This window comes from Homo sapiens, chromosome 2 (assembly GCF_000001405.40).
Source record: "Homo sapiens chromosome 2, GRCh38.p14 Primary Assembly".
NCBI classification, from domain to species: domain Eukaryota; kingdom Metazoa; phylum Chordata; class Mammalia; order Primates; family Hominidae; genus Homo; species Homo sapiens.
Genome location: NC_000002.12, coordinates 134864212 through 134888907, shown reverse-complemented (window position 1 = coordinate 134888907; position 24696 = coordinate 134864212). Strand labels below are relative to the sequence as shown.

Here is a 24696-nt window from a genome sequence, read left to right as displayed (position 1 = left end):
ACAGCACATTTTCATCACCCCACAAAGCTCCCTCATGCTCCTTCTTGGTCATTCTCTCCTCTCAGTTCTCCCACTAAAGGTAATAACTTGTCTTTTTTTTTCACCGTAGACTAGTTTTGCCTCTTCAAGAACTTCATATGAATGGAGTCATACAGTATACACTCTCTGGGATCCAGCTTCATTCATTCAGCCTTTTGTAAGAGTTATCTATGTTGTAGTGTGTATCAGCAAATTATTTTTTTCTTTTCTGTTTTGTTGTTGTTTTTTGCTGAGTAGTATTCCATTTTGTCAGATATATGGTAATTTGTTTATCCATGCTTCTGTGGATGGACATTTAACACTTTTTCCAGTTTTTGGCTATTTGGAATAAAGCTGCCAAGAACTTTTTTATACAAGCTGTATTTTTGTGTGTGGATATGTATTTTCAGTTCTCTTAGGTAAATACCTAGGAGTAAAACTGTTGGGTGATAGGATAGGAGTATATTCTACTAACAATGTGTGAAAATTCTGGTTGTTTTACATCCTTGCTCATAGTTGAGTTCTCAGTCTTTTTTGTTTTTGGCTATTCAGTGGATGTGCAGTGTTTTCTCATCATAGTTTAAATTGCATTTTTCTGATGAACTAATGATGTTGAGCACCTTTAAATATGTTTATTGGCTAATTGTTACCTTCTTTTTGGGAGTGGCCATTTAAGCCTTTTGCCCACTTTTAAATAGGATTGTTGGACTTTTCATCATGAGTTTTAGTAGTTCTTTATAAATTTTGGATATAAGTCCTTTGTCATATATATGCTTTATGAACATTTCCTATCATTCTGTGGCTTACTTATTCATGTTGCTAATGTTGTCTTAGGATGAGCTAAAGTGTTTAATGTGATGAAGTCTAATTTGTCAAATTCTTCTTTATGGTTTTATTGCTTTCTGCATCTTGTCCAAGAAATTTTTGCCTGCTTCCAGGTTGAAGAGATATTCTTCTATATTTTCTTCTTGAAGCTTTACTGTTTTAGCTTTTTTGTTTAGTTGTATAATCTTGCTCAAATTAAGTTTTGTGTATGGCTGGTATGAGATAGGGTCAGGGTTCATTTCCCCCCCATATGATGGATTCTTGCTTCAGCACCATTTGTGAAAAGGCTTTCCTTTCCCCATGTAATTGCTTTCGTGTCTCTGTCAAGAATTAATTGACCGTATAAGGATGAATATATTTCTGGGCTGCACACGGCAGCTCATGACTAATCCCAGCACTTTGGGAGGCCAAGGTGGGAGGATAACTTGAAGCCAGGAATTCAAGACCAGCCTGGGCAACATGGTGAAACCCCATCTCTACCCAAAATACAAAAATTAGCCAGGTATGGTGGTGCATGCCTGTAATCCCAGCTACTTGGGAGGCTGAGGCAGGAGAATCACTTGAACCTGGGAGGCACAGGTTGCAGTGAGCCGAGATCGTGCCACTGCACTCCATCCTGGGTGACAGAGTGAGACCCTGTCTCAGAAAGAAAGAAAGAAAAAGAATGGATATATATCTGGATTCTTTAGTTTATTCCATTAATCTATTTGTCTTTCCTTATGCCAATATCACACTATCTTGATTGCTGTTGTTCTGTAGTAACCCTTGAGGTCAGTTAATGCAAGTTTTTAACTTATTTTTCTTTTTCAAGATTATTTTGGCTCTTCTAGTCCTTTGTATATCTGTATACATTTTAGATTTTTAGATTTAGCTTGGATTACATTGACTCTATAGATCAATGTGAGGAGAATTGATATCTTAACATCGTAGAGTTCTCTGATCCATAAACATGATAGAACTTTCCATTTATTTAGATTTTTAAAAATTGCTCTTAGCAATATTTTATAGTTTTCAGTGTAGAGGTCTTACACATCATTTCAGTTTATTTCTGAGTATTTTTTTAAAACACTATTATAAATTGAATTGTTTAAAAGTTTAATTTATAATTGCTTGCTGCTAGTATATAAAAATACAACTGATTTTTAAAATATTGCCGTTATGTCCTGCAATCTTGCTAAAGCCACTTATTAGTTCCAGTAACTGCTTTGTAGGGTCCTTAAAAATTTATTACATAAACAATTATGTCATGTCATCTGCCAAAGAGACTATTTACTTCTTTGTATGTATGCCTTTTTACTTTTTCTTGTTTTCTTGTACTGGGTAGGATTGCCAGTGCATTGTTGATTGGAAGGCGTGAGGGTGGACATGTTTGCCTCTCTCCCCATCTTAGGGAGGTGTTTAATATTTCACCATTATGTATGGGGATAGCTATGATTTTTTTTATGACAATCTCTATCAGATTGAGGAAGTTCTTTTCTATTCTTAGTTGCTGAGTTTTGTTTTATTAAAAATCATGGGCCGGGCGCAGTGGCTCACGCCTGTAATCCCAGCACTTTTGGGAGGCTGAGGCGGGCAGATCACGAGGTCAGGAGATCGAGATCATCCTGGCTAACGCGGTGAAACGCCGTCTCTACTAAAAATACAAAAAATTAGCCGGGCGTGTTGGCGGGCACCTGTAGTCCCAGCTACTCGAGAGGCTGAGGCAGGAGAATGGCGTGAACCCGGGAGGCGGAGCTTGTAGTGAGCCAAGATGGCGCCACTGCACGTCAGCCTGGGCGGCAGAGCGAGACTCTGCCAAAAAAAAAAAAAAAAAAAAAATAATAATAATAATGAATGGGTAATGAATTTTGCCAAGTACTTTTTATTCATCTATAAAATGATCATACTATTTATTTCATGAATATGGTGAATTACACTGATTTTCAAAAGTTAAGGCCATCCTATTCCTGGAATTCCAGTCTCATCCACTTCAGTCAATACTAAATAGTGGAGAAAATGGTCTTTTAAAAATACAAATTTGATCATGGCATATCTCTGCTTAAACCCTGTCAATAGTTTTCCATTGCCTAGAAGGTAAAGCATGGCATAAGCAGCCCCCAATAAATGTGAGAAATAAAGGGGTCCCGAACCTTTGTGGGGGCAGAACTTTGTGGTCTGATGTGACTAGCTGCTTTTCCTCGGGAAATAATTCTTTTCCTGATAAAATACTTGAGCAATTTTCTAATAGAGTAATGAGCTTAAAAGACCCTCTCGGGAAACCCACTCGACTGATTATTACTCTTGAAACTGGTTTAAGACCTTTAACCAATAAGGCAAAGAGGCTGTCATCCTTAACTGGATATTATTTTCCTTCTTTAAAAAATCTAGTTTAATAATTTATCTGCTGATTTTTTTCTCTATAAAATGTGTTTGTAAGAAGGATTCTTTGAATTGGACTTTTGAGCATGTTTCTTATTTTGATACAAGTTTAGAATAAAACTCTGATACATGTTCATAATCAATATGACAGCTACTTTAACAAATGTGTGTGTGTTGAAGGAATGCATGCTTGAATATATGAAAGATGAAGTCTGACTAACTAGACCTGAAAAAAAATCACATATCTAACATATGTTTTATATATATTTATATATTATATATATTTACATATATATTTTATATATAAATATATATATTTACATATATATTATATATAATATATATGTAAATATATATTATATATAAATATATATTTACATATATATTTATATATATATATTTAAATATATATATAAATATAATATATAATATATATATTTATATATATATTATATATAAATATATATTTACATATGTATTATATATAAATATATATATGTATATATTTTTTGAGACAAAGTCTCACTCCATCACCCAGGCTGGAGTGCGGTGGCATGATCTCCGCTCACTGCAACTTCTGCCTCCGAGGCTCAAGTGATCCTCTCACCTCATCCTCCCAAGTAGCTGGGACTACAGGTGTGCACCACCATGCCTGGCTAATTTTTGAATTTTCCGTAGAGACAGGGTTTCACCATGTTGGCCAGGCTGGTCTCAAACTCCTGAGCTCAAGTGATCCACCCACCTCAACCTCCCAAAGTGCTAGGATTACTGGCTTGAGCCACTGTGCCTGGCCTAGGCCTGAAATATTAAATATATTTTAAATACTGTAAATTTGAGCTATTTGAGGATAAATGACACTTTGATTTCTACCCCCAAAAAAGATTTTCCTAGGTTTTATAAATACATTTATATGAAATAATATGGGAAAGTATATAATACAGTTTAGAGGAAGGCCATGGTAGACTAACAAGTCTTATTTTTAGATTTCTGTACTCATTGCTGTATGAAACCAAACAAATACACCTGCTGATAATAGTCCTAAAGTCCCAAAGTTATGTCTACTTACATCTGTGGCAACAGCTGATCTCATTCTGAATTGTCTGCTTGGTATTCACTGGAAGTTCATTTGTCCTTATTTCTAAACTCCTCTTGCTAAAGCTGTTTACAATTCCAAAACACAACATAATATTTAAAAGTCCCTTGCTTTCACTACATTTGTCAACTACATTAACATGAAAATGAAGTCTAGAAATTAATTTTGCCTTCTAGTCTGGAATTCTTCCATTTCCAGTATTATGGCCTTCTTGGATATAAATATATTTTAAGAAGGGGTATATTCCATTTTAATATGGAGAAAGCAAATAATTCTGAAGCAGAAATGAAAATCACCCTTCTGCAATTTGTCCTTCTGGTTAAGACACTTCCCTGCTTTCCTTCCTAACTTGATTTTGGATGCCCATTGCAGAACATCACACTCAGAGTTTGGCAATGTTGAATTATTATTTAGTAACTATTGTTCACAACTCCTCCCTGTAGGAGGTTAATTATCTACTTGTAATTATGTACAAGTAGATAATTGTATGTACTTGTATTTGGCTTGTGAATTTTTCATTTTTCATACCTGTTATCTGTCTGTACATCTCATTGAAACTTCTGGTAAATCTTTGACCATTTCTGACTTGTCAGTAATTTCGCAAGAGAGAAAGCGATAGGCATACAAAATTGGAAATGAAATTTTTATTGAGTTTCTTGTTCAGAGGGAGAAGAGATAGTAGCAAGAAAAAATGGGAGGGAAGAGATTCTTCAAGAGTATATGATCCTGTAGGATGAAGGTCACATACTCTATTGAGTAATGCCAGTCTCCTGTTGATTGATGCCTAATAAATACTTGGGTTAAAATACTTTTTTGGCTGGGTGTAGTGACTCACACCTGTAATTGTAGCACTCTGGGAGGCTGAGGTGGGGGGGATCACTTTCAGCCAGAAGCAACCTATGTTGACCAGTCTGGGCAACATGGTGAGACCTTGTCTCTACAAAATCAAAAATTTAGCCAGCCATGGTACCTGTGTCCCAGCTCCTCAGGAGGCTGTGGTGGGAGGATCACTTGAGTCCAGGAGTTCAAGGCTGCAGTGAGCTATGATCGCACCATTGTACCCCAGCCTGGGCGACAGAGTGAAACCTTGTCTCTAAAAAAATGACTTTTTCTATTGCTAGTTCTATCACCTGTTATTTCATAACTGCAAATTGATTATGTTTTAAATGAATTACATGAGGAATCCTGGGTTAAGGAGTCATATGATATGGCCTTGGATGACTGTTGATTCCATTTCCATTAACCTTAGCTCCTTGGGATACCCAAAGCTGTCCTCACATCTTAGGTTCCCAAATAACATATCTGATCTTGGCCTCCCAAAAGCTGAAATTTCTTCTGTTTTTTTTTTGTCTGTGATCCCAGATCCTATTCCCTTGGTATCCGTCATAATCATGCACCAGTTTTTAAAGATATCTGTGCTAATGTAGCATTTGACAACATCTCCATTTTAGTAGGGCATTTCTAAAGACTGTATTAAACCCCAAGGAATAATTCTAATGATGGACATTTTAGGTACCATGGCTGCCTCATCTGGAATCCTGGAATTCTACCTTCTGGACAGGTGCTGGCTTTCCTTATTAGGCAGTAAAGCAGTGGATATCAACACTTTGCTCCAACATACATTTCCCTCTCCAAAGCCAGCAGCTGCACACATCTCCCTATGAGGTCAAGGACTTACTGAGCTGATAATAATAGTGATTAATATTCCTGTCAGGGAAAAGAAATAAACTTCTCACCTGCTGGGATGCATGAACTTTTTCACATTTTTAGGGAGTTCTGCAAACACAAAGATGTGGCTTACAAAATGGTTCTAATTGTGGGAGAAAGTTTCATTTTTTCTTCTGGAAAAGGAACACTTAATTATCTTCCCATTAGCATATCTCATTAGTAGCATTTGCAGTAAATACAGCATACTCTGTTATAACATAACTTAATCCAAAAATTCTAGCATACCAGAGATTTAGTTTGTTCCCTGAGACATAATTTCCCAGAGAAAGAGCCTGGTTTAATTCAATCAATGCAAAGTAAAATTAGCTTTATATTCCCAAGATCATTATACAATTCAGTTAAACAAACATTAACTTAACACCTACTATTTGTAAAGTGCTGGAGTAGGTAATGAAAATCTCTTGACATTTATACAGTCCTTTGGCATAGTATTATGTTAACTCGTCACACCAACTCTGCCTGGTTATCATCCCCATTTTAGAGTTGTAGAAGCTGAGGCTGAGAAGGGTAAGTGACTTGATATTTGGTCACCACCTAACTAGTAGTAGAGCCAGGACTTGAACTCTCTCGCTTACCACAACTTCTTGAGAAGACAGAAAGGAAGGTTACAGGCTTCAAAAAAGTATTTTTACTCTATTGAGGATTCCAGTACACAGGAAAATATCTTGTAACCAAAATACTTGGAAGCCTAAGTATTCAAACAAATTTAAATGTCAAGTTAGGTGGGAATTAGGCAGGTACCCTCCCCCACCTTTTTTTGTTTGTTTTGAGACCAAGTCTCACTGTACCTCTCAGGCTGGAGCGCAGTGGTGCAATTTTGGCTCACTGCAATCTCCACCTCCCAGGTTCAAGTGATTCTCATGCCTCAGCCTCCCGAGTAGCTGAGATTACAGGTGCCCGTCACCACGCCTGGCTACTTTCTGTATTTTTAGTAGAGATGGGGTTTCACCATGTTGGCTAGGTTGGTCTCAAACTCCTGACCTCAAGTGATCCAACCACCTCAGCCTCCCAAAGTGCTGGGATTACAGGCGTAATCCAGCTAATTTTTTTTTGTATTTTTAGTAGAGACAGGGTTTCACCATGTTGGGCAGGCTGGTCTTGAACTCCTGACCTCAAGTGATCCTCCCATCTCGGCCTCCGAAAGTGTTGGGATTATGCGCAGCCTGAGAAATTCTTTGTTTTAAGCCATGTTGGAAATATTTCTAATACGTATGGTATGGTCTGCTGCCTACAATAGCTGTGGGTATATTCAAATCTTTCTTTAATGATAAATCACTTTTCAGTGCTTTTGGATCACCCTTGCCCTTCAGAACCCCTTGAATAGAGTAGTCCTGAATATGAAAGATGTAGAGGTACAGAAGGGGGATGGTGAAGTTTTATCCATTGGGCCTGAATGATGTCCAGCTTAGGTTCATCTTCTTACTCACAGATCAAATGCCCAAGACAAGATCATATCTCTGCTTATTGTTGTAAAAACTGACAGTGTTGCTCCTAAAAGTGAACCGTTTCTTTTACTACAAAATAAAAATACTTTCTATTTTACAGAACAAGAATTTCGAGATTCTCCATTAAAAATAAAGAAAAGGGCCAGGTGCAGTGGCACATGCCTGTAATCCCGGAACTTTGGGAGGCTGAGGCAGGCAGATCACCTGAGGTCAGGAGTTTGAGACCAGCCTGGCCAACATGGCGAAACCATGTCTCTACTAAAAATGCAAAAATTAGCCAGGTGTTCTGGCTCATGCCTGTAATCCCAGCTACTCAGGAGGCTGAGAGGCACAAGAATTGCTTGAATCGGGAGGCAGAGGATGCGGTGAGCTGAGATCATGCCACTGCACTCCAGCCTGGGTGACAGAGTGAGACTTTGTCTCTAAATAAATAAAGAAAGTGAATAACATATGAATAGATATTTTGGTTGGGGTGGCGGAAAGTCTAACTTGCAGAAACAGGCCCGTTAAAAAAAATTGAGGTGAAATTCACATAACACAAAATTAACTGTTTAAAATGTACACTTCATCGGCATAGAGCACATTCACAGTGCTGTGCAATTATTACCTCTGTCTTGCCCTAACAACTCCAAGAGTCAGGCACTAAAACATTGTACATGCTCAAAAAGTATAGACACATGAGGAAAGCATTTAATATGAAAGACCGAGACTTTAAAAAACAGACAAAAAAGCCACCTGGAGGAAGACTTGCAGGGATAATCAAACTTCCTAAAATTCTTACTATATTCAGAGAGATAAGAAAAGGTATTGCATCCACCCAACAAGGACAGGATATTAAAAAAAATTCAGAGAACAAGAAAAATAATAAGCTTTTGGAAATTAAGAGACCAACTAAATAGAAGCCTTTTTAAATAAAGTTGAAAAAAATCTCCCAGAAAGTAAAACGAAAGTTCAAAGAGGTGGTATGTAAGACAGAAAACAAAAATAGGTTCTACTTTAGAACAATAGGAATTCTAGAGAGAAAAAGCAGAGGGAAGGAAATCATTAACACATAATTTAAGAAAATTTACAGAATGAAAGGATCCACCAAATGACTAGGGTAATGGGTGAAAATAGACCTATATCAAGTAGTATCATTGTGAAATTTCAGGACAAAAAGAAATCCTTAGACTCTTTGAAGTTGTGGTAAGGAGAAGAGAGAAGCAGGTTTTACACAAATTTCAAAAATTAGGATGTCATTGCATTACCCAACAGCACCTCTAAAAGCTGGAACACAATGGAACAATGACTTTAAAATTCTGAGGGAAAGAAACGACTTCCAAGCTAGAATTGTTACCTAGCCAAACAATTAGGTCATTGCGAAGGATGAATACAGACATTTTTAGATAAACAAGGTTTTGAAAAGTTCATCCTCCATACTTCCTTCTCTGAAAGTTATTGAAGGATGTTGTCCACCAAGATGAAGGAGTAAAACCAAGAAATGGGAAAATCATGAGATTCAGCAAACAAGGAATCCAATGAGAGAGATTGAGAATATCCTCATGAAGAGAGATTTCAGGATGACAGATGTGCAGCAGGTTTAAATAGCAACTCAGTCCCAATTAGAGCATCAGAAGGCTCCTGAAGATATTTCTTTAAGAACACAGAATTAATGGACTAGTGTTAGTCTATGCGTCTGAATGTACTGAGAGGAAAGTTACAAAACTGGTGGAGAGTTTAGGGTTAAGTTTGTGTAAGTAGCATGTAAATAAAATAAAACAAGGAAGGAAAGAAAGAAGAAATTGGTGGTCTGCAGTCATCTTATTGAACCTCAAGAGAAACCCTGAGCCAGAATTGCCAAGCCAGAGGGTTCCTGAATTCCTGACCCAGAGAAAATGAATGAGATAGTAAATATGCATTCTTGTTTTAAACCACTGGGTTTTAGGTTAATTTGTGATGCAGCAGCATGTAACGAATACAGAGTTTGGTTCCTGGAAATTTGGTGCTACCATAACAAAAACCTGAAAATGTGGGAGTGGCTTTGGAACTGATTAGTAGGAGGAAGTAGGAAGGACTTTGAGAATAATAAAAGACCAAAGGTCCTTGTAAAGACTCTTATTAGAAGCCCAATGGCCTGTGAGAAGGTTGCAGTAAAGGCTTAAAGGAGAATGGGGAAAATGTGATTGGAAACTAGAAGAAGGGTGATCCTTGCTATGGTGGTGGCAAAAATTTAGCAATGCTGTCAACTACAACAGGGGTCCCCAACCCCTGAGCCATGGACTGGTACTATGGGGATTGTTGGGTTTGAATATTTCCAGCCTCTCCTATAGCAAATGATGCTAAAGTTAAGATACGGATTTCTGGCAAAAACTAAATCCAGGGCATAATCAGAAAAATAGAGTCTAAAAATTAAGCCAAGATGTGACTATAATGTCTTTGTTATAACCTCAAAAGATTTAGGAAGTGCCTCAAAAAGCCATTCAGTCAAACAAAAAGGGCTTCTCAGAAGCTTAAGGCTGTTGTCTCTCAGCCACCTTAGCAGAAACCCAAAGGTAGAGAAGGGCTTTTCTCAGAGATTTGTGGCTAAGTCTTTTGCCTAATGATGTGAAACTTAATAAGATTCATGAAAGACTCATTTGGTTTTTAAAGGAATTGTATTAGAAGCACCACCAGCTTGGACTGAAAGGAACAGATATAAAAAAGGAAAGTAAACCTTTGGACTATAAAACATGTACAGGCATTAAGCAGTCTGTACAAACTGCTCAGCCACAAACACAGGCTTTTATGGAAAAGGAAAGATGACTGAGAATGTAGAAGCAACAGCTATGTTGAATTGGCCTGGCACAGTGGCTCACACCTGTAATCCCAGCACTTTGGGAGGCTGAGGTGGGTGGATCACTTGAGTCCAGGAGGTCGAGACCAGCCTGGGCAACATGGCAAAACCCTGTCTCTACAAAATATACAAAAATTAGCCAGCTGTGGTGGCATGCATCTGTGATCCCAGCTACTTAGGGGACTGAGGCTGGAGGATCCCTTGAGTCTGGGGAGTGGAGGTTGCAGTGAGCTGAGATGGTGCCGCTGCACTCCAGCCAGGATGACAGAGCAAAACCCTGTCTCAAAAACAAAACAAAACGAAAAGAATGTTTTTGTTGAATGGTTTCTATGCTTTGAGTTCTAATAAAGGAACTACCAATATGTGCCTGATGGATTTCAGACTTGCTAGTGGCTAGTGACCTCCTCTGAAGCTCTTGTTTTCCCCTTTTGGAATGGAAAGGATAGCAAGTATCCTATGCTTGTCTCGCCATTTTATATTGAGTGTGTGAGGAACAAAGGAACTTGTCTGTTCAGTTCACAGTTCTTCAGATTTGGAGAAAGTATACATGAGGAGCCTCATACACCAGTTCATCTAAGCAACAAAATCCTAGACTTTAAAGTGATGCTATAAATGGATGAGACTTTTGGGGCAGTCTTGGTAGGGGTGAGGGTGTTTTGCATTTAGGAGGAATATAAATAATTTGTGGCCAGAGAGTGGAATGAGGTAGTTTTAAAATATGCCTTCAAATCCTTTGATAAGCCTCCCTTCAAAAGGTGGGATCTAATTCTACTCCCCTTGAATGTGAGCTAGATTAAATGACGTGCTTCTAATGAATAAAATGTGATGGAATTAATACTATATGACTTCTGACTCTAGGTCATAAAAAGGATAGCTTCTCTCTGGTGTGTGTTCAATCTCTCTCTATCTTTTTCTCTTTTCCCCCCCCTCTTCTTCCCTCCCTCCCTCCTGTCTTGATTACCATCTCTCCCCATTTCTCTCTCAGATCACTCACTCTTGGGGGCATCCAGCAGCCATGTTGTGAGGACACTCAAGCAGCTGTGAAGAGGTGCACCTGGAGAGGAACTGAGGCCTCCCACCAAAACCAAGCACTGACATGCCACTCATGGGTAAAATCCACCTTGAATGTAAATCCTTTAGCCCCAGCCAAGCTTTTAGATAACTACAGCCCTGACTGACACCTTGCCTGTCTCACCTCTTGAGAGATTTTGGGTCAGTTAAGCTATTTCTAAATTCCTAACATATAGAGGCCATGAGAGATAATAAATGTTTATTATTGTTTATGTGGCTTGTTTTAAGCCACTAAGTTTTGGGGTAATTACAGTCATGCATCACATAATGATGTTTTGGTCAATGACAGACTGTGTATGTGATGGTGGTCCCATAAAATTATAATGGAGCTGAAAAGTTTCTATTGCTTAGTGATATTATAGCCATCATAATGTGATGCATTATTACTACTATTATTATGTGCAATGCATTACTCAAGTGTTTGTGGTGATGCTGGTGTAAACAAACCTATCTCTTCCAGTCTTATTAAAAGTACAGCACAGATAGACTGGGCGCAGTGGCTCATGCCTGTAATCACAGCACTTAGGGAGGCCAAGGTGGGTGGATCACCTGAAGTCAGGAGTTTGAGACCAGCCTGGCTAACATCGTGAAACCCATCTCTACTAAAAATACACTGGGTGTGGTGGTGCATTCCTGTAATCCCAGCTACTTGGGAGGTTGAAACACAAGAATCGCTTGAACCCAGGAGGTGGAGGCTGCAGTGAGCTGAGATCATGCCACTGCATTCCAGCCTGAGTGATAGAGTGAGACTGTCTTAAAGAAAAAAAAGTATAGCACAGATAATGATGTACAGTATGTAAGACTTGGTAATGATATAAATGACGATGTCACTGGCTTATGTATTTACTATGTTATCCTTTTTATCATTATTTTGGAGTGTGTTCCTTCTACTTATTAAAAAAAATTAACTGTAAAACAGCCTGAGGCAAGTCCTGTAAGAGGTATTCCAGAAGAAGGCATTGTCGTAGGAGATGACAGCTCCAGCTGTGTTATTGACCCCGAAGACCTTCCAGTGGGACAAGATGTGGAGGTGAAAGACAGTGACGATGATCCTTACCCTGTGTAGGCCTAGGCTAATGTGTATACTTGAGTCTTAGTTTTTAACAAAAAGGTTTAAAAAGCAAAAAAAAATTCTCTTTAATATAAGAGAGATTATCAGGATATAAAGAGAAAATATTTCTGTACAGCTGTATAGTGTGTTCTTATTTTAAGCTAAGTGTTATTAAGAGTCAAAAAGTTTAAAAAATTTTAAAAAGTAAAAAAGTTACAGTAAGCTAAATTTAATTTATTATTGAAGAAAGAAAATTTTTAAAAAATTTAGTGTAGCTTAAGTGTAGGGTGTTTATGAAATCTACAGTAATATAAAGCAGTATCTTAGGCCTTCACATTCACTCACTATTCACTTACTGACTCACCCAGAGCAACTTCCAGTCCTGCAAGCTCCATTCATGGTAAGTGCCCTATACATTTTTCATCTTTTACATCTTATTTTTACTGTACCCTTTTTATGTTTAGATATGTTTCGCTACACAAATATGTATCATTGGGTTACAACTGCCTACAGTATTCAGTACAGTAACATGTACAGGTTTGTAGCCTAGGAGCATCAGGCTATATACCATATAGTTTAGGTGTGTAGTAGGCTGTACCATAAAAGTTTGTGTAAGGGCACTGTGATGTTCGCACAACCACAACATTGCCTAATGATGCATTTCTCAGAACATATCTCCACTGTTAAGTGATGCATGACTGTAATTATGCAGCGGTAGGTTACCAATGGATCTAGCCAGAATTATGATATACTCATAATGAGCGTATGACCGACCTCTCAAAAATCTATCCACTTAAATAGTGAAGTGTATTTTCTGTGATCATGTTAATATAGGGAGGCAATATAGTTTTCCATTTTTTTGTATTTCTCACAGTGTTAGACTGATAATCTATAACCTGCATTCTTTGTATCCGTCTTTAAAAATCAAAGCAAAGAATTTAAAAGCAAAAGAATTTTAGAGGTGGAAGGAAGCCAAGAGATTATGCAACCAAGAGATTATGCCATTTAAATACTTTCTGACCAAATAGCACAGGGTTTTAGAAATAGCAGGTGCTCAATAATGGTTTTGGTTTTTTATATATGACATGTATCTGTGTATTCTTAAGATGTTATTTAAAATTTATATTTATCAAAGTAAAGTTTATACATAAACAATCAAATATTACTAAAATATCTTTATTATCAAAAGCAGCTCTTTTTTAAAAACACTTTTTGGGTCAGTTATGGTGACTCATGCCTGTAATCCCAGCACTTTGGGAGGTTGAGGCAGGCAGATTGCTGAAGTCCAGGACCTGCTGGGCAACATGGCAAAACCCTGTCTCTACAAAAAATAAAAAAAAGAGTTGGGTGTGGTGGTGTGTACCTGTAGTCCTAGCTACTTGGGAGGCTGAGGTGGGAGGATGGCTTGAGCCTGGGAGGTGGAGGTTGCAGTGAGCTGTGATCACGCCACTGCGCTCCAGCCTGGGTAACAGAGTGAAACCCTGACTCACTTTCCCAACTGTTATCCCCTAAGGCAGCCACTTTTACCATTTTAGCATGCATCGTTTGATAATTACCTTTATATTCCCAGATAATAAGCTTATACTATTGTTTCTTAGTTTACTAACTTTAGAGAGTATTTACTGATTTCCCATTATGATCATTGAGAATTTCTTTCTTACTCTATTTTCTTAATAGAATTATGATTTTCATTTAAACCAGTACTAATATTTACCCTATTATGACTACAAATATTGCTCACTGCTGAGTCAAGTAATATACAGTGATTATCTGCCCTCATGTAGATTTTTTGTTTTCTTGGAGTTGATTATTTCCTTTTCTTTCATTAGCTTAATTTTCTATGTATATCCTGCATTTGTTCCTAATGCATCAACAGATCTGTTAAATGTCTGGCAATAATTGTTTCCAACTCTCAGACAGATCAAATAATTCATCAGTTCCATTATTTTCTTTCTAGAGACCTCCCTCCACGGCATTTTGTCCTCTTGCTCAAATCTGGCCAGGTTGCTCTCTAGCCCAGATGTCTAGCTAGGACTTTCCTTAGCCATTCTGATATGGGGATTGTTTTTAAAAGCGAATTTGCTAATGTGAATATGACTAGAATGAAGAAGTATTAATATTTTAAAAAGAATCCTAAATTATTAATATATACCGCTTCTATGTCCTGGATTCACCTGCCTGTGAGATCACATAAAATAAGGTCACATTTGCTTTTGATGCCCAAATTATTATAGCTCAAGCTTTCACAGTTTGAATGTAAGATCTCAGCATCAAGAAGTTTGTAAAGTACCTGCTGAGTTTTTCTGGAGGTCCCTAATAGGAATATATTCACACGTGCTCACCAACTAGTCCATCCACTGGTTAACATGAAGCATTTGCCATATTTTTCCTCTTCTGCTCCTGTCCCCTGGCCAATGTGTATTGCACTGGGTGCTCGCTGAAGGTGCTGATAGTATCCCTTAGAAAATGGGCTTTGGATTTGGCAATGGTGTTTTCTCCTGGTGTTTTCAATTTCCAAGAATACTAGTAAGGAGGTACTAGGCTTGATGGGATGTAATAAGAACAGCCCTTCCCCCAATTCCACATGATTTTCCCTCTTCCTTTCCTCCATTGCTCAATGTCCAGAGCCCACAAAGTCTCTTTCAGTTTCTGCCCTGTGAAGTCTTCTGCTTACATGCCTTCTCATCACTCTCCATCCAAACCAAAAACAATCAACAGTCACAACCAATTGCTAACCATCCATGTTTGCAGGGGTGACACAAAAGCTAAACAACTCAGAGGCACAGCTCAACCACATAATTGATTACCAAGCTAAAATGCTTAATATTTATATTCTGGTTATTTTCTCAAGCCAGAGAAACAGTCAGCATTAATATGAGATAAAGTGTCCATTCTGGAGATAAACCACTACTTGCAACTTTCAAATGATGGGCCTCTTTTTGCTCGACATGATTTTTTTAAACCTTAGAGTCTAAACTCAAGTACCATATTGCAAATTTTTAAATATGTCTATATACTTTTAACCCCAAAGATTTTTCCCTTGGGAAAATGTGGAAATCTTCTATAGATATCTGTTAATAAGATGGAATTGAAATACAAAATATTTTAGACTTTTCACTATGGCCTTTTCCCTAGAAATTCTTGAACTTGCTGAGTTAGCATTTTTAAAGAATACTTAAAGGGTGGGTGTGCCACCAACAGAGAGATTGGCGAGGAGACTACATCAGAGGAAAGACTTTTTCTTGTGCGCTTTAAAGTACCACTATGCTGGTGTTTTAATTAAATGAGAGAATCAAAAGCCATATTATTCCAGGAAGAAATCTCAGGGCATGATACACAAGACCCTTCATCATCTTCCCCTGACTCCCTGTCCAGCGCAATTTCCCAACTATGCATTTTCCACACTTTCAATGTTCCAGTTTTCTCCATGTAGTGGATGAGGACAGTTGTATTCACAATTTACCCAACTAGTGAAAGGTAGAGCCAGGATTTTAACCCAGGTCAATTTGACTTTGAAACTTGTGCCCCTTTCCTGCTTACTACATTGCCATGTGTCATTTTGGGTGCATATAGGGATGTCGCTAAGGAAGAGGAGCTGATCTGGGGGAATACCCAGCCATGTAGATGATCTGGGATTTCTCTGGCATATATAATAGTTTCTTAGTGTTATGTACTCTGTGTGGAGGGAGACCCTGGAGAGAATCCCCTGTGTGAGCAAACCTAATCCCAAACCTCACTGTCTCTCTCCTTTCATCTAATACCTTTCTTCCATCCCTTTTTTGGAGAGAGGCCAAAGGAGAGAGAATGGGTTGCTGATGCAGCATTCTGCTCCCCATAAGCCATCCAAGTGGCAGACTGGGCTTACCTTTCCTATGACATCTGTTAACAGCTTGAGGGACAGAGGATCATGAACCAAAGCATCTGTGTAAAAGGAACCAAGGTATTTCTTCGGGTTCATGGGGTTGTCCTGGGCACACAGATCTGGGCGCATGCTGAATCCATGGGAGATTCTTCCCACTGTGAAGGGGAAGGCACCACCTGCAAGTAAAACCCATTACTGAGGGGCTAGTGTTGATTGTAAAGGATTCCTTTAGTCTTGATGTTATATGCAAGAAGTTACTGTAGGCCAGCTGATTAACAGTAATTACAGAGGACCTATTGTGTTCTGAATGCTGGGAGATGATGGAAGAAATGGCATTAACTCATCTAGAAATTCAGATTTGAGAAATTCATCTTAAAGAGAGAAGACAGGCCAGGCACAATGGCTCACACCTATAATCCTAGCACTTTGGGAGGCCAAGGATGGCAGATCATGAGGTCTGGAGATCGAGACCATCCTGGCTAACACAGTGAAACCCCACCTCTACTAAAAATACAAAAAAATTAGTTGGGTGTGGTGGCACATTCCTGTAGCCATGGCTACTCAGGAGGCTGAGACAGGAGAATCGCTTGAACCTGGGAGGTGGAGGGTGCAGTGAGCCGAGATTGCACCACTGCACTCCAGCCTGTGTGACAGGGTGAGACTCTGTCTCAAAAAAAAAAAAAAGAGTGAAGGCAAGTGTGTAAAGATATGTAATCAAAGTTTTCAAATATAGTGTGATTATAATAGCAAAATATTGAGACAACCTATCAGTCGGGGGCTATCTGAGTCATGATGGCATATCCATGAAATATAAGGCCATACATGACACCATAAAAAATGATGAAGCTCTGTATTTGTTGACCTGGAAAGATGTCTTCTCTATGCTGTTGAGGAGGAAAGGCATGTTAGCGAGTAACATGTGTAGTTTGATTGTGTGTGTGTGTGTGTGTGTGTGTGTGTGTCTGTCTGTTGAAGGGTCACAAATTCAACTACCTATGGGGACCAGGCAGACAATGTAAAAGAATGAAATAGGCCTATTTGTAAACAATGAAGAATAGTGGGGACTATTGTAGACTGGAGAGCTCATGATCTAACTAGAGGGATTTAAATAAAAAAAACAGAAAAAAAAAAAACAATGACAAAACTAAACTTGCCTACAAAAGTAGAATTTGGTTCCTAAACCATCATGTGACTAGAATGATGGCTGGAAGGATGTTACGAACTGAATTCCTTCAAAACTCATATGCTGAAGCCCTAATGCCAAATGTGACTGTGCTTGGAGAAAGGACCTTTAAGGAGATAATTAAGGTTACATGAGGTCATAAGGTGGGGCCTTAATCCAACAGGACTGGTGTACTGATGTCCTTGTAAGAAAAGGAGGAGAAACCAAAGGCCATGTGAGGAAGGTGGCCATGTGCAAGCTAGGAAGAGAGCCCTCACTAGAAACCAACCCTGCCAGCACCTTGATCTTGGACTTCTAGCCTCCAGGACTGTGAGAAAATAAATTTCTGTTTTCTTACAGTCACCCCATCTGTGGGATTTTGTTGTGACAGCCTGAGCTGACTAATAAAGATAGGGTCTTACCACCATGTGCGAAACACACTTTCAGTTTGGGAAACTTCTCAAATACTCCACCCATGATCATGGAGCAAATGGCTATGGTGGTCTCTGCTGGCATTCCTGAAAGAGGAAATAGTCACAAGGTTCAGGGATGATCACCCCACCAAGAAGAATTCAGTGATGTTAGTGGCTGGGGAATTGTCAGTGCAAAGAAACTTGAGGCCCTTGTACCCTGGCATAGTTTGGCTGTATTATATAGGACATTACTTTGGCAAGGAGAACCACGTGAAACTTCCTACTTGCCACTTGAAGGGAGAGTCATCTAATGGCTAGAGAGATTGAGGAGCCAGAGGACTTGGTTTTTGCCCTAATTCCCCCGACTTCAGTTTGGGATGCAGTGGGACAGATGGAGTGTGCCAAGTCCAAGCTGGACCCTAGCTCCTCCAGTTTTCTGCCTCCTGGCCTCTGGCAAGTTATCTAATGGCTCTGAGCCCACATTTCATCTGTAAGATGACGTCTGTGTTGCCCATTTTGCAAGACTGTTGTGGAGCCTTGCAAATAATGATGTCGGCCAAGTTCCCGGACAGAACTTCACAATGGAGGTGCTCAACAAAAATATTAGCTGTCTCTCTCTCAATTTCCTCATCTGTAAAATGGTGAGTTCCTGCCAGTGAGTTGTTTTGAGGATTGGCAGACAGCACCTGGCATTTAGTAAGGGCTCACTAAATATTAACTATCATTATGGTCATTCCTGCAAAATCTTTGCTGCCTCTGGTAGCTGAGATTGAAAATAACTGGATTAAAATGAATTATTTCAAGTGCTTTGTGCTCCTAGGAGAAGCAGCTGGTCCATGTCTAATGCCTTCATCCCTGAGGAGCCAGTCCAAGCTACATTGCCATTGACTGCTTTTCAGACCATGACTCAGAAATCTGACCGCTCCACAGCTGTGCCCTGCACCTTCTGGGGAAGCCTGACTCTGTAGGCTGCGGAGCTAGGCTTCACAGGATGCTCATTCTGCCCGGGGCTGGTCACTGCTTCACAGGCAGAGACGCCCCTGGCACCCAGCTGCCTGGGAATTCTGGAAGCATGATGGATTTGTACCCATCTGGAAGCAGTTTGTGGGTAGAGCTTCCTGAAGGCAGAGAGATGGATGGCATCACTTTCTTCTAGTTCTGTGACTCTACTTTCCCATAATTACTTGAACCATAACCCCACAATCCATTCTCCATATAGCAGTCAGAGTTACGTTCATAATGTGAATTGGATCATGACACTTCTCTGCTGGGAATCCTCCAATCCACTAATGACCACCTTTGCATCCAGAATAAAATTCCAAAATTAGCCTGTTTTCTTGTGATATATATATATATATATATACTTGTTTATAATCTCTTTCCTCTAACCAGAATATAAGCTCCATGAAGGCAGAGGTTTTGTTTGTGTCTATATCCTCAGTGCCTCGGACAGGGCCTGGCATGCTAGAAGGAATCAATGTATTTGTGTTGCATAAATGGATGATGAAATGACTCTATATGCAGATGCTCTCCTGTTGCAATATAAATAAGTTTGTGGGCTGGGTGCGGTGGTTCACTCCTGTAATCCCAGCACTTTGGGAGGCCAAGGTGGGCAGATCACTTGAGGTCAGGAGTTTGAGAACAGCCTGGCCAACATGGTGAAACCCTGTCTCTACTAAAAATATAAAAATTAGCTGTGCGTGGTGGCGTGCACTTGTAATCCCAGCTACTTGGGAGGCTGAGGCAGGAGAATCACTTGAACCCGGGAGGCAGAGGTTGCAGTGAGGTGAGATCACACCACTGCACTCCAGCCTGGGCAACAGAGTGAGACTCGGTCTCTAAATAAATAAATAAATAAATAAATGAGCTTGTGGGACTTATCAGAGTTTTGTGAATAAGGGTGACATTTTTCTTTGAAGCTTGATGGCACTGGGCATCTTGGGTTATCTCATCCTATTAATTATTGCCCAAGAATTTGGTAGGGGATGAGTAGGAAGCCTCCTTACTAAATACTTTGGTTTCCAACAGCAATCACAGGAATATATAAAACATGAGCAGAAAGAGGCCTTTGGAGAAATCTGGACCAGCATTCTCATTTTACGGATGAGGGACCACGGCCCATGGAGGTAAAGTGATTTACTACAGGCAATACAGTGAAATAGAGACTAAATTGAAACTAAAATCCCGGTTTTTGACTTCCAATATATTGCCCCATTTAATTCTTCATGGTGATTGCCATTTCGATTACTTAATAATTACTAATTGTACTAGTTGGGCTGAGGAGAGAAAGAACAATGGTCCCCTTAAAGAAAATCCAGGCCGGGTGCAGTGGCTCACACCTGTAATCCCAGCACTTTGGGAGGCTGAGGTGGGTGGATCACTTGAGGCCAAGAATTTGAGAGCAGCCTGGCCAACATGGTGAAACCCTGTTTCTACTGAAAATACAAAGATTAGCTGGACGTGGCATTGTACCCCTGTAATCCCAGCTATTTGGGAGGCTGAGGCAGGAGAATTGTTTGAACCTGGGAGGTGGAGTTTTCAGTGAGCTGAGATTGCACCACTGTACTCCAGTCTGGGCGACAGAGTGAGACCTTGTCTCAAAAAAAAAAAAAAAAAAAGAAAAAAATATCCAGCACTTTTCATTTGGGGACCAAGTTTTCATTGGGTTTGTAGATGAGCTGTATTTTTCACCTATAGCTCCAGAATTTTACATCTGTTCTCTATCTCTTCTTACCACAACTGATGATGAGAGATTGGATAGAGCAAATGGAGCTTTCTCCTCTACCCTTTCGTGGAACTATGGATAGTGCAGGAGGCAAAGGGCAGAAGAGAGGAGCAGATAACAGGCAAATTGCAAGCCTGGGTCATCTTTTATATAAGATTTCAGATCTTTGGGTGGTGGAAGTTGACCTTCTACCTTTAATTCTAGGGTTCTCATTTGTATGAGCTGATGCTATTATCATCGTCTAAAAAATTTACTAGACAGGTATGGTTACATTTTTTGAAGCCTCTTTGGGAGTCTGTGTAGCAAGACTGGCTTTGGAGTCAGATATATCTGTGTAAATTACATTTTCATGTATTAACTGTGTGACCTGGACACCTTACCTAAAAATTCCAAGCCTCAGTTTCTCCATCTGTAAAATGATCATTATAATGTCAAACTCATAGATTAAATATATGATTTATTTATGATGGTATTGGATATGTTTAAAATTAAATGAGGTTATATATATATATATAGCATTAATCCAAGTAAGAGCTCAGTAAGTGATAGCTGCTATTACTCATAATCCTGTTAATTATTCATACTTTCCCTATTTGACATAATAGGTTTCCATAGATGATTGGAAAAACCCAAGAGTTGGTCCTCTGTTCCAGACCCCACACAGACACAAACCTACAAGCCAAGGGAGCCAGTATTTGGCCATTCGTCCATCCATCTGCATGTCCCAGGGATGCACGAACAGGGAACACTTCAGCCTTTCGGCTGCCTTCAAAGAAGCAATGAGAGAGAGAGAGAGGGTTACTTTGATGAGTGAGCAGATACCAGGTACTGTTTTGGGGAAACTGCTTTTCTCTGAGTCTATATTGGTCTGCACAAATAAACTAAAATGCTTTTTAAGTTGTTTTATGATCTATATAGAAGAGATATTGACAAACTTCTCCTGCTTAGAAAATAAAAGGGACACTTGGAATTAACAAAGGGGGTTGGTAGATTTACCATTGAGGTTGATGAACTTAATATATCATCTGGTAAAACAAGCGTCAGGAAATATCCATCATTCAAATGTTTTGGCTGACAGCAAAATGCTCAAGGACTAATCCCACAGCTGAAATGTAGGGGAAAATTTCCCCTACATTTGGCTCCTTCTGGCTCCTACTTGGTCTACACTTTTGGAAGGACTGCTGAGATTGTATCCTTGGAGTCAGGGCGAGAGTGCCCCCTCCTTTTCCCCACTTGGAAACCAGAGTTTGTGGAAAGTGAAGAAGTGATGTGCTGGAGCCAGAGGCTCAGTGCTGGGCTGGGGCTGGCTGGCCTGACCCAAGCCACCTGGTTACTCAGAGCCCAGCACTGGGTGGAATCCCTGGGGTCTACAGGCATTCACCCATCCCCAGAAGCCCAGATGAGTCTCTGAACAGTTGGCTGTGAGTGAGATGACCTCAGAAATGGAAGAGGTCAGTGCCTTAGCCAGACAGGCACTGACATGAATGTCATAGGCATGCTCCAGGGCCTTCTGAGAAATGGAAATACCATCTGGATGGAATGACCTTTATGCAACAAAAAGTTTAATTAAAAGAAGTCTCCTCAACAGGCATTGAATATTAGTGCTCGTCAAGATTCAAAAGAGATTTCCCTTAGAATAATTCCTCACCACATATATTGAGGTTCTGGAGTGATTCATCCTACCCTCATACATAAATGTTTGTGCTAACCAGGCTGATGCAATGTGACTTGTGTACATAAGCATTTTTAAAATGGAAAAGCAATTCTGGGACAACAAGGGATTCTGGAAGTGTCAGGAAAAGGGTAAGTTGAAGAAAGGACTTTTAATTCAACAGGTCTTGGGTAGCAGAAGAGATATAAGCCTTTTAAAGAGAGAGAAGCTAATTGGTTTCTGATAATAGGTGCCTGTTGGAAAGAAAATATTGACCTCTTGGGATGGTTTGGGTTTGGCAAAGGTGCATGGTCATGGTATCTCAGTGGGATTTGACTCCTCATTTGGATACAAGTTTATTCTATGTGCCTCTGGTGGTTCTTTTCTTTTTAAAATTTTTCCTTTTTATTTTTTTGTTAACTTTTATGTTAAGGGTACATGTGCAGGTTGGTTATATAGGTAAATTGCATGTCACAGGGGCTTGGCATACAGATTATTTTATCACCCAGGTAATAACCATTGTACCCAATAGGTAGATTTTTGATCCTCACCCTCCTCCCACCCTCATTTCTGTTCAGTTCAAATTAACATATTGTTGATCTCCTTCTATATGTGGGGTTTGTAGAGAATAGAAAAAGAAGTTATACTCTCACAATTATAATTAACATTGACTGAGAACTTATTATGTGCCCAAGCTGTTATAAGAATTTTATAATTATTAACTAGTTTAATTTTTTGTGAGATGCGCACTTTTACTACCCTCATTTTATGGAGAAGAAAACTAAGGCAGATAGAAGCTAACTTACTTAGGCCTTGTGGCTGATAGATGGTGGAGCTGGGCAGTTGGCACTACCATTCAGTCTGCCTTATACCAATAACGAAGTTGTTTTTGCAACTGAAAACTGACCTGAGCATGTATGATTGGGTTTACTCACTAAAAAGGGAGGTCTAGGAGATAAAGGGGACAGTTAGACCTTTGGAGTACCAGGATCACCTTGAGATGACAAAGCCAACCTGGCTCATGATAATTCATTTCAGCACATTATTGACGCAAACTAGAGAGCAGAGAGGCAGGCAAACCTTGCTAACCAAACAAATATGCTGCCACCCCCAGGACATCATAAGTCACCTGGGGACAGGATGTGCTCCTGAATCCCTTCAGAGACTGGATGTCCTCAAAACAGCCCAGTTAGAAGGATTGATGGGTCGAGCTAGTCACACAAATGAAAATATCCATGTGGACCTCAACCGGCTGCTGTTGCTTCCTAAGTCCCTTAGTAATTCATAAACCCAAATCCAATGAATGCTAAAATGACTTGCAGCTGAAGTCTCGATCACACTGTGCTGAAACAACTTGGATGCATAAGTAAATAAATCCTCTTTCAAAGCTCATTAAAGTTTCTAGAAAACATTCACTGCATCAGCTAAACCACTGCAGCCAGTAAGCTTCAGGGAGTTCAGTATATTGAGGAACATTAAATCTTTCAAGTCATTAGAAGGCAATTTAACAGGCAATCTCCTGACTGGTGGGCAGTCGCCATAGATACAAACATGGAAAATTTTTTGCCTGTAGTTAGACCTCAGTAAATACTAAATGAGTAAATGATCAGTAGTCACAGTGCCTGGTGAGTCCACAAACATCTATTTAAGTCATTATTAAAGATTTTGCATTTATAATGAAAATAATAGAAAGCAATATTATTATAATTCTAGGAGGGAAATAAAAAATTAAAAAATGCAATTGAGTAAAGAATTATGCATCATGAATCCTGGTACTGAGATGAGAAGGTTTGGTTATAGAAAGAGTTGAAAGTGGAGGAGGAAGAAGAAGACTGATGGAGATGACTGTGGAACTATGGACACTTGAAGTTGGATATTTCAGAAATGAATGGCACTGAATTTTTGAACATACATTTTACCATGAGATATTTTAAGTATAGAAAGTATAAACAATAACACAATGAGCATCCCTATACCCACCACCTAGTTTCATCAAATGTTAACATTTTCATGGTATTATTTTTTATTAGGTATTTTAAAGTACATTTCCAAAATATATGACTTAAAAATATCTTAATTACAGATTGGTTAAATAAATCAAAGCATAGCCATATATTGGAATATTCTGCAGTTATTTAAAAATCGTGCATTAAAAGAATTTTCACTTATGTTGGAAATTTTTAATTAGCATACAAAATCACATGTGTAACAGAATTTCAGGTTCATTAAAATATAGATATATGTATATCAAGAAAGTAACTATGTATGGTAACAGTGGCTACTCATCTTTGGGAGGCTGGATTATGGGTAATGTTTGTTATCATCTTTATACTTTTCTGTATTTTCGATAATTTCTTCCAAATTATTTCATAATTTTGAAAAATGTTTAGTATTTTTTTTCCAAAGCAGATTTTTTTTTTTTTTTGAGATGGAGTCTTGCTCTCTTACCCAGACTAGAGTGCAGTGGCACAGTCTTGGCTCA

General features: G+C 39.1%; 1 protein-coding gene and 1 long non-coding RNA gene across 10 annotated transcripts in view; one reads left to right on the top strand and one right to left on the bottom strand.

Moving 5' to 3' along the window:
• CCNT2-AS1 (CCNT2 antisense RNA 1) overlaps positions 1-22275 on the top strand; it is a 51974-nt gene extending 29699 nt beyond the window's left edge. The window contains exons 2-5 of the long non-coding RNA NR_036549.1: positions 11265-11388; positions 12770-12801; positions 19867-19964; positions 21169-22275. This is a non-coding gene — a long non-coding RNA (CCNT2 antisense RNA 1). The remainder of the gene's footprint in view (positions 1-11264; positions 11389-12769; positions 12802-19866; positions 19965-21168) is intronic.
• Positions 1-24696, bottom strand: part of ACMSD (aminocarboxymuconate semialdehyde decarboxylase) — a 63419-nt gene that overhangs the window by 13127 nt on the left and 25596 nt on the right. For all 9 annotated transcript variants that reach the window (XM_011510592.3, XM_047443333.1, XM_017003325.2 and 6 more), the window contains 3 exons: positions 21236-21329; positions 17848-17943; positions 16267-16439 (listed from right to left, as the gene is read on the bottom strand). In XM_011510592.3, coding sequence (XP_011508894.1) covers positions 16267-16439; positions 17848-17943; positions 21236-21329 — 363 coding nt within the window. The remainder of the gene's footprint in view (positions 1-16266; positions 16440-17847; positions 17944-21235; positions 21330-24696) is intronic.